The sequence below is a fragment of the Homo sapiens genome, chromosome 15 (genome assembly GCF_000001405.40).
Source record: "Homo sapiens chromosome 15, GRCh38.p14 Primary Assembly".
Lineage (NCBI taxonomy): Eukaryota > Metazoa > Chordata > Mammalia > Primates > Hominidae > Homo > Homo sapiens.
This window is the reverse complement of record NC_000015.10, coordinates 98,023,632-98,034,938: the sequence shown is the minus strand read 5'-3', so window position 1 is coordinate 98,034,938 and position 11,307 is coordinate 98,023,632. Positions and strand designations below refer to the sequence as shown.

At 38.6% G+C, this 11,307-nt stretch overlaps 1 pseudogene; it reads right to left on the bottom strand.

Moving 5' to 3' along the window:
• Positions 1–8,799: 8,799 nt before the first annotated feature.
• Positions 8,800–8,895, bottom strand: LOC124903587 (uncharacterized; annotated as a pseudogene).
• Between the last annotated feature and the right edge of the window lie 2,412 nt (positions 8,896–11,307).

Here is an 11,307-nt window from a genome sequence, read left to right as displayed (position 1 = left end):
TGTGCATGCATGTTTGCACATGTGCCTGCATGTGTGTGTAGGATTCGTATTGTAAACTTTTTTTTGTTTAGCAATACATCATGAACATTGTTCTATGCCATTAAATATTCTTCCATATCATAGCTTTGAGTGGTACATAGCATTACGATGTAATTATGTATCGGGATTTACTTAACCCATCCCTTTTTACTGAACACTTGGTTGGTTCGTTTTTCATTTTGTTTTAGTTTTGTTGCTATGATAAACACCTTAATCATAAAAAAATGCATGCTAATGGATGAGTGGTAGTTTTATTCTTGTTCCTTCTCATGTCTGTCCAGACGTTTGCAGAGTGAATTGTCTTTGATCATTTGTGGATTGAAGTTTCTTATTCTGGTGATCCCCAGAGGATGGCCTGTCCCATCCCTTCTTTTCTATTAGGGTTGGTGGTAAAGGGAACTTGAGGAGAGTTAAGAAGTGAGACTGGAGAGAGCCCCAGGGGAAAACATAGCACAGTTCTCAGGAACCGAATTGACAGCAGATCTGGGTAAGTTCAAAAACTCACATCATGTAGGAGGTCAAGACTTTAACAGCAGGAGGGGGATTGAAAGTCCTAGAAATAGATACTGAAATTTTTTTAACTGAAGAAATTGAGAAGAAGAGATAAAGGAACTTGATCGTAGAGTCCCAGGGGGTCTATTAACCCCTCACTCCATGACACAAAAAGATGCCCAAGAAGCTCCCGTATCAATCCCAAAGGATGACTAAATGTGCCTGAGCCAGAGCAGCCCAGAACCACTGGTGAGTTCTGGGAAAGAAGCCTCGGGTAGGAAGGCAGAGAGGAAGATTCGCTGTGTTCCAGACATTGGCACAGGAGTGCTCCCTTGTTTTTTAATCATTGTAGCCCCATCTCCAGGTGTCAAGTAGGAGCCAGTATCAGAAGTGAGCTCTGTAACCTGCTGCTTCTGAATTTTCCGTGGTATCCACAAATCGTTGTTGAAGATGCTCACGTAAGCCACCCAGCCTGTGGAGAGATGGTCAGTGTCTAATCCTTAAGTTCTATGTGCTCTGCATGAACTCGCCCACCTCTCTGGAAGAGAAATGTAGCAGGGTGGTGAGTGAGGAGTCAGGCCTTTCTGGAAGCTTTGCGCCCTATACCAATCCATGCAGTAGTATGTTGGTGCCATGGTTTGGAAGTTTGTCCCCTCCAAATCTTAGGTTGAAATTTGATCATCAGTGTTGGAGGTGAGGCCTAATGAGAGGTATTTAGCTCTAGGGGGTGGATCCCTCATGAACAGCTTGCCATTTCCATGGTGGTGAGTTCTCATTCTATTAGTTCCCACAAGAGCTGGTTGTTGAAAGGAGCCTGGCACCTCCCCGCCCTGCCACCTCCCCTTTCTTTCTCTTGTTTCCTCACGTGCCATGTGATCTCTGCACAGACAGTTCCCTTTTACCTTCCATTGTGAGTGGATGCAGTCTGATGCTGTCACTAGATGCCCAAATTTGAACCTTCCAGCCAGCATAATCATGAGATGAATAACGCTGTTTTCCTTATAAATTACCCAGCCTCAAGTATTTGTTTGTATTAACACTAAGTGAATAAAGACAGTTTGTAAATGTTTAACAATTGGAGGACAATAATTATCCTTCAATGCCCAACTTTCTTTTGGATATTTCCTCTAGCTCTCCTGGTATAAAATAAGAGGGCCGCCCCCGATACTCCCATAATACCATGGAACTATCTCTTTCCTTTACTGTATAATATAGAATTGTGATTATTTGCTTAAAGTCTGTTTCCCTTCCCAAGCTGTGAGTTCCTGGAAGGGAGAGCCCAACCACCTCTGTCTTCAGCCCTGGATGCAGTGTCTGGCACGTGGTCAGCCTTCATTCATATTTGTTAGATATATGTGAATAAATGAATTAACTAAACTGTAGGTTAACAAGAGAGACCAGAATATTCATAAGAACACTTTTAGCCTCAGGTTAGTAAAGATACTATTCAAAATGGTTTAAATAATAAGATGTTTATTATTTGACAAAAAATAGTTCAGAGGTGGGAAAAGTTCCAGGGATGGATTCATTCAGCACCTCAGCAAAGTTCTCAAGGAGCCAGGTCCATTCTGTCCTCCTCCTGTGCTATCCTTCACCTGTTTGCTTTTATCAAAAGGTAGCAAAAGAGTTATGTATGACAGCAAAGAAGGTGGCAGCAGCTCCAGGCATCACATCCATATATCACAATGTCCACAGGCTAGAAGAGAGACCCTCTCTCTCTTTTTTTAACCTCAAAGTAATCTCCCTCAGAAACATTTCCCTCTTTCTTCCCAAATAGATTTCCCTTCATTTGTTAAAAAAAATAAAAATACAAGAATTGACTTGGACTAATTAAAATTTTCAGGGGTGGGGGGATGTCTGTCTGGTAGGCAACCAGTCAGTTGTCACATATACAGTCAATAAAGATAAGATATTGAACTACCATCCACATGATCAAGCTGCATCCATCTCAGCTATACAAGGACTGTTGAACATTAGAAAATTTCTTAATGTAATTTGTGATGCTAATTAATTGTAAGAAATATATATATAAATAAAATCATCTTAACTTTAAAAATCATGTGATAAAATTCAACACCTGCTCAAAAATCCTTTAGACATCAGAAAAATGTGCCTAGAATCACTCTTACTGTGCAAAATTGTTCTATAGATCATAGCCTCATATCAGAAAAAAGTTATATAAGAGCTTAAGAAAAAACCCACAAAGCTGTTATTATTATTATGACAATATGATAGTATTGTTATAATGACATTATTACCTACATAAAAACTCAAGACACACTCCAAATTATTAGTATTAATGAGAGTTTAGAAATTTTGATGGAAATGAGATTGTTTACAAAAGCAGTCACAGTGATACATATTAATAACAAAAAATCTACCATTAAAAAGAGACCATTTATAATAGCAACAAAATATATAAGGTTTCTAGAAATAAATTTAAGAAGAGCTGGAAATTATATTTATGAAGAAAATATAAATAAGTACTGAAATTTATTTGATAAATAAAAATCAATGGAAGAGATGAACTATGTTTATAGATACACTCAAAATCACAAAAATTTTTACTCCTCCCAAATTAATCTAAAAGTCTAATGTGACCCTAATTGAAATATAAAGATTATGTAAAAATTGACAAGGTGATTTTAAAACATGGAAAAGTGTTAATAATTGCACTTTTTGAAGACAAGTTTGAAAACTAATGTAGAAAAACATGTTTTACCAGAAATCAAGAATTATTCTGAAGCCTGGGGAGGTGGCTAACACCTGTTGTAATCCCAGCACTTTGGGAAGCCAAGGTGGGAGGATTGCTTGAGGCTAGAAGTTCTAGACAAGCCTGGTAAACACAATGAGACCTCACTTCTACATAAAATTTTAAAAAATTAGCCAGTGCATGACTCACATCTGTAATCCTCGCTACTTGGGAGGCTGAGGTGGGAGGATTGCTTGAGCCCAGGAGTTCGAGGCTGCACCACTCAAACTCCTGGGCTGGAGGTGATTGCACTGCTGCACTCCAGCCTGAGTGACAGATGAGACTGCATCTAAAAAAAAGTATTTTGAAACTATGGTAATTGGGCCACTGTGATTTGGATACAAGGCCAGATCTACAAACCAATGAAACAAATACATGACCCAGAAATTTACTCATAATTATACGAAACTTGATATCTGAGAGGGTTGTATTGTAAATCAATGTTGAAAGGATGGTCTGTTTAACAAATGATTTTGGAACAACTGGTTATCTATTATAAAAAATTATCTGTATCTCATGCTATATGCAAATATCAATGCTATGGGGAATAAGAATCTAAAATATAAAAATAAAAATGTTTATTCTTTTATAAAAATGTATAGGAAATTATCTTTGTGATCTTGGGGTAGGGGACATGTTTTTTAAAAAAGGTACAAAGAACAAACATAAAGAAGATAAATTCAACTTGATTAATATTTTAAAATATGACTGTGCTTCAAGACATAGTAGAGAAAAAAGGAAAAGAAAATTGTAGACATAGATAAGAGATTTGCAATATGTTTACATGCAGTATATAAAGGATAGCTAAAAATGGATAAGAAGACCCAATAATCCCACTAGAGAAATGGAGAAATGATATAAACACATCATTTGCAGAAGGAAATACCCAAATATTTCACAAAGACATTAAAAAAACCCTCAACCTCATTATAATCAGAAAATGCAAATTGAAAAGACAGTGAGATAATGATTCATACTAATTAGATTGGCAGAAATTGACTGAAAATACTAAGTGTTGGTGAGGATATAGAAAAACAGAAACTCAAACTTTTTAGGTTGGAAGGAAAATTTGTACAACCACTTCGTAAAGCAGTGGAGCTGTATCTCAAAGATGAAAATAAGCAAGCCCTGTGACCCAGCAATTACATTTCTGAGAATATATGCTAGAGAAAATCTCACATATGCATCCAAGAAAACACATACAATAAGGTGTATATCATCTTTATTTCTAATAGCAAAAAATTAGAAACAAATTAATATGGTGAGGCTTTGTCTCCCCACCCAAATCTCATCTTGAATTATAATTTTGCATAATCCCCATAATCCCCACATATCAGAGAAGAGACCAGGTGGAGGTAATTGAATCACGGGGGCAGTTCCTCTGTGCTGTTCTCATGATAGTGAGTGAGTTTTCATGAGACCTGACGGTTTTGTAAGTGTTAGGTATTTCCTCCTGCATTCATTCTCCTCCTTGCTGCCTTGTGAAAAAGGTGCCTTGTTTCCCCTTAGCCTTCTGCCATGATTGTAAGTTTCCTGAGGCCTCCCCAGCAGTTCTGAACTGTGAGTCAATTAAACCTCTTTCCTTTATAAATTACCCAGTCTAGGGCAGTTCTTTATAGCAGCGTGAAAATGGACTAACACATAAATTAATGAATATTGACAAGAGAATGATGAAGTAAATTGAAGTATATTTGTGTATTACAATACTATACTACAGTGAAAATAAATGAACATCAACGTAGAAAATTTTTGCATGCATATTGTCGAGGGAAAAAAATTTTTGAAGAATACCTGTGAACAATGTCATTGATATACTGTTTATGTAATGTTTGAGTTGTACAAAAATAATAATATTGTTTAGGTATACAGACAAATGTGGTAAAAGCATAAAGACATGTATAGATATGTTGGACATTCCCTAGGGGGATGGGATGGAAAAAAAATAGCACCTCAAGTGTATTTGTACAGCTTTATTTCTTAAGTTTGGAGACAGGTATCCCTGCATTTATAATATTATTTCCTCCATATTTTTGTACGTCAGAAATATTTCACAATAGAATTTTCAAAAATAGAGGCAGCTATCTACTGACGCTTAAGGAGACCTAGTGAATCAGTGGGTTGGATGTCTTTTCTGTGATGTGTGTCATGTAGAAGCTGATGAGAAAAGCCTTTCCATGATCCTGAGAAGAAAGCACATTCTACCATCCTGTGCTATATGGAGTTTTCCCACAGATCCAAAGAAGGGTTGATCTTGACATTCAAAATTAACTCAAACTATGTGTTTTGGAGTACATTTAAAAAAAAAAAAAACAGCCGGGCACAGTGGCTCAGTCCTGTAATCCCAGCACTTTGGGAGGCCGAGGCGGGTAGATCACGAGGTCAGGAGATCGAGACCATCCTGGCTAACACGGTGAAACCCTGTCTCTACTAAAAATACAAAAAATTAGCCGGGCGCAGTGGCGGGCGCCTGTAGTCCCAGCTACTCAGGAGGCTGAGGCAGGAGAATGGCTTGAACCCAGGAGGCGGAGCTTGCAGTGAGCCGAGATCATGCCACTGCACTCCAGCCTGGGTGACAGAGTGAGACTCCACCTCAAAAAAAAAAAAAAAAAAAAAAAAGTTAAGTAAATGTTTCTGGAAAAAACCTGAAATACTTTTCCAAAGAAAATGATTCTGAGTCATGAGTCACCAAGTTCTGTCTGGATATATTAGGAAATTCAGGTCAAAGGCCTTCTCAAATGTTATTGCTAATTGTTCTCTATTAAATGTGGTTCCTCTTCTTATTTCTTGAGTTTTTAAAATAATCCGATGGTATTTTTTTTGTGGAGCATGAGTTTGCCTGTTTTAGCCCCAGCTGGTCTTTGCAATGAAACCCAAATAAGTGGTCTTAGAAAATGAGAAGCTTTTAGTCAGGGAGAGCCAATGGCTGCTTTTTGGTGGTCAGACTCCAACAAGACCCCAAATGCAAGCTATGCTTAACCTCTTGGCTTTAGGGTTGGCAAAGAGGGTCTCTGAGAGCTAGCTAAAACTCAGAGAAGGGCTCCTCAGCCAGCCTTGAAGAGAGGACTGCTCCCCTAAGTGTGAGTGGAAGGGTTGACTCTATCATTTATTACTGATGTGATCAGCGGTGAGTTACTTAGCCTGTTTGAACCTTTGATTCTTCATCTGAAAACCAGTGCATTTTGAAGATTAAATTAAGTAATCTCTGATCCATCCAGTGTATACAAGAGATGCTCACTGGCATCAACAGCCAGATTCAGACTACCAGATGCATTGGAATTGACTTTCTGAATATCCTCCAAGAATTGCAAAAATAATCATTTTACATTCAGTACTTAAGGCATTAGTATAAAATGAATTTGTAGGTTCACTAAAACATCTCTGATAAATAGAGGACAATTAATAAAAGAGAGGCCTCAACTGGAGCACATTTTCGTAGTGTGATGTGCTAGTAGTTCATGAAGTGGTTTTCAATGGTGCAGTTTTATATGCTTATATTGACAGCATTGGACTTAGCTTTCTAGTTACCTTCTGGTTGCAGAATGTCTGTGAAACATTTAGCCTGGCACAGAGTATGTACTCAGTAGGTAGATGCTACTGTTTCTTAAGAAAAAAAACTTTTATTTTAGGTCCAAGCATACATGTCCAGGTATGTACATAGGTAAATTGCATGTTGCAGGGGTTTGGTGTACAGATTATTTAACTACCCAGATAATAAGCATAATACCCAATAGATAGCTTTTTGGTCCTCACTCTCCTCCCATGCTGCACCCTCAAGTAGGTCCCAGTGTCTGTTCTTTTCTTTGTGTCCACATGTACTCAACGTTTAGCTGTCACTTATAAGTGAAAACATGCAGTATTTAGTTTTCTGTGCCTGTGTTAGTTTGCTTAGGGTAGCAGCCTCCAGCTCCATCCATGCTGCAGCAAAGAACATGATCTCATTCTTTTTTATGGCTGTATAGTATTCCATGGTGTATGTGCACCATATTTTCTTTAGTTGACTATTGATGGGCATTTAGGTTGATTCCATGTCTTTGCTGTTGTGAATAGCACTGCAGTGAACATCCATGTGCATGTGTCTTTATGGTAGAATGATTAATATTCCTTTAGGTACATACCTAATAATGGGATTGCTGGGTCAAATGGTAGTTCTGTTTGAAGTTCTTTGAGAAATGGACAGACTTCTTTTCACAATGGCTGAACTAATTTACATTCCCACCAGCAGTGGATAAGAGTTTCTATTTCTTCATAATCCAGTCAACATCTGTTATTTTTTGCCTTTTTAATAATAGCCATTCTCACTTGCGTGAGACGGTGTCTCTTTGTGGTTTTGAATTACATTTACCTGACGATTAGTGATGTTGAGCAGTTTTTCATATGCTTTTTGGCCGTGTGTATGTATTCTTCTGAAGTGTCTGTTCATGTCCTTTGCCCACTTTTTCATAGTGTTGTTTTTACTTGTAAATTTCTTTAAGCTCCTTACAGATTCTGAAAATATATTAGACCTTTGTCAGATGCATAGTTTGCAAATATTTTCTCCCATTCTGTAGGTTGCCTGTTTACTCTGTTGACAATTTATTTGCTGTGCAGAAGCTCTTTAGTTTAATTAAGTCCCATTTGTTGATTTTTTTTTTTTTGCAATTGCTTTTGGCATCTTTATCGCAAAATCTTTGCCAGGTCCTATGTCCAGAATGGTATTGCCTAGGTTATCTTCCATGGTTTTCATAGTTTTAGATATTATGTTTCAGTCTTTAATCCATCTTGAGTTGATTTGGGTATATGGTGTAAGGAAGGGGTCCAATTTCAATCTGTTGCATATGACTAGATAGTTATCCCAGCACGATTCATTGAATGGATGTTCCCTTCCCCATTGCTTATTTTTGTCAAGTTTGTCGAAGATCAGATGGTTGTAGGTATGCAGCATGATTTCTGGGCTCTGCGTTCTGTTCCATTGGTCTGTGTGTCTGTTTTGGTACCAGTACCATGATGATTTGGTTACTGTAGCCTTATAGTCTAGTTTGAAGTTGGGTAATGTGATGCTTCCAGCTGTGTTCTCTTTGCTTAGGATTGCCTTGGCTCTTCTGGCTCTTTTTTGGTTCCATGTGATAAAATAGTTTTTTTCTAATTTCGTGAAGAATATCATTGGTAGTTTGATAGTAACAGCATTGAATCTGTAAATTACATTGGGCAATATGGCAATTTTAACAATATTAATTCTTCCTCTCTGTGAGTATGGAATGCTTTTTCATTTGTTTGTGTCAACTCTGGTTTCTTTGTGCAGTGTTTTGAAATTCTTGTAGAGGTCTTTCGCCTCCGTGGTTAGCTGTATTTCTGGGTATTTTATTCTTTTAATGGCTATTGTGAATGGGATTGTGTTCCTGGTTTGGCTCTCCACTTGGATGTTGTTGGTGTGTAGGAATGTTACTGATTTTTGTATAGTTATTTTTTATCCTGGCTACTGTTACTAGTACTTCTTTTCTCTAATCAACACTGCTATTTTTTATGTTTTTATTTTACTTTTAAAAATGGAATGCTTTACACATTTTCATGTCAGCCTTGCACAGGGGCTGTGCTAATTTTCTCTTACCATTCCAGTATGTGCTGCCGAAGTTAGCACAACACTGCTTCTTATGGGTATATCATCACATCAAAAATACAAGAGTACTGCAGTAGAGATCGGAGAATCAGTCCCACAGGGATGTGGAAGGGAAAGGGAAGAATGCAGGCAACAGTGTGTTGAATCCATCACTTACTCCCCCCAACTTTCCAAGATCTGAGAAAAAAACAATCTCCTTATAAAAAGGTGAATGTGGCAAAGTACAAAAGTCTGGATACCATGTCAGAAGACCAGAGATGGAGACATGTCTCCTATACGATATCCCAGGGAAGCTGGTCAGATTCTGTCATTTGTTCTCCTAGGGGAATCTATGAGGTCTCTAAGATTCCTGGCTGAGTCCTCGAAGCTTACCTGTATATCCCAAATAGACTTAGCCCTCTGCGTTGTATTTACTTGTAACTACATCACATTAATATGGTCATCTGCTACCTTCACATCAACAAATTCAAAGCCTCCTGATGTATCATGTAGTCACTATGCACTCCGCATTTTCAGCACACGAATAATGTTCTCTTTAATTTCCTGGACTCAACAAAAGAATGACTCAGTCAGAAAGAAATTCCACTTTGCATATTGTTAAACAATGCTTCAGAGATTTTCCCAACAGAAGAGAACAGTGGAGTCTTGGCTCCTAAACACTGACATTCACCTGCTTCATTTCCTATAAAAACTAGGCCAGGCCCTGTGAAATGGGCTGGCCAATGTTGTAACAGCTGTAAGACCAGCTTCTCCACTGTGAGTCTACACAGTGCCTGGAGTCAGAGGAAGGGCACTTAATTTAAATAACCTGTCCATCAAACTTTGATTCTAATTATTTTTCTAATTATTTTCTCTGTTGGTATATTCTGAGATCCAGAAACCACCTGTCTACATACTTGCTTTTTTGAGAAATGCAAGAGCTTGCATTCATGTAAAAAAAAAAAAAAAAAAAGAGGACAATAACTCTCACATTTCAAAATCTACTTTCTAATACACAAAAATATATTAGGGGAACTAAGGTAAGATTCTCTATCATATTGTAATGAGATTCTAAGATGACTCAACTCCCTTTAGTCTTTCTTAATGAGGAATCACAATGGTTTTTGAGAGAGGGTCTACTTTTCTTAAGATGCCTGTGGAGCAGGAAGTTAGCTATGTAGGAAATAAGAAAAACGGAGGGATAGGAATGTATTAGTGATTTCTGGCTACTGGACATATCCAGTTCTTGTTGATCATGCTTGCCCAGGCGGGGGGTTCTCCATCTGGCACTTGATGCTTTTCCTCCAACTGTGGCCCAGCAGCTTAAGAATGAGGATCAAAATTTTGTATATGACTAATTCTCTTCTCTGAAGGCTGTGATTTTCATTTTGTCTCTAATACATTTGCTGAAAGAAACTCCCAAAATACATTAAGTGGAAGGATGTTTATTGTAATTAAAATGTTCCCTGAGTCAGCAAAGTTAGTGGCCTGATTGTGGAGGTGTTGGGAGACTCTCCAGGACTCCCCAACACGTTCCTCACCAGCTTGCTTCACAGCGAACTCTGTCTGACCCTGTGACCTGCATGCAGCCCGCACAGGGGGCTCTGCTCTCTGGGTGAGGTCACATGCCAACCTAGAACCCTTGGCCTGAGAAACCCCTACCGTTTCTTTTTAGGTGTCTGCATATCTAGAAGGGTACCATTTAGAATGACCCTGGGAAGCATGCCAGTCTCCTATGCGAGCATGCTGTATATTTCATCCCTTAGTTAGTAGGAAGCAATGAAGAGAGTTGGAGTTTACTCTTAGCTAAACTCGAGGCAGCAGGGAAAGTCAGTACATGCCTCTTATCATCAAAAGCCCAAGTTTGGCATCAGATGTGCCTGGGAGGGAATGAAAGATTAGTGGAACAGACCGTCCCTATTGTTCCTTTTGCTGGGGTGTGCTAGTCTTAGAACACCAGGGGGACTTGTCACCGTCATGGGCATTTAGAATGGCAGATGACAAGCTGGGCACGGTGGCTCACGCCTGTAATCCCAGCACTTTGGGAGGCCGAAGTGGGTGGATCGCCTGAGGTCAGGAGTTCAAGACCAGCCTGGCCAACATGGTGAAACCCCGTCTCTACCAAAAATACAAAAATTAGCTAGACATAGTGGCACGTGCCTGTAATCCCAGCTATTCGGGAGGCTGAGGCAGGAGAATCACTAGGATTTTCCAGAAGATGGAGGTTAGCGAGCTGAGATCATGCCATTGCACTCTAGCCTGGGCAGCAAAGCAAGACTCTGTCTCAAAAAAAAAAAAAAAAAAGGCAGATGGCAGCCTGTGTGTGTGTGACATACATTGACTTATAAACTTTTGTTTTTCCATACTTTTGTTTTATGATTAATTGCCTGTTAGGTATTTATTGTAGGTGTGATACTGTAAAATATATACTTGGTCTTTGACCTGTTTTCTG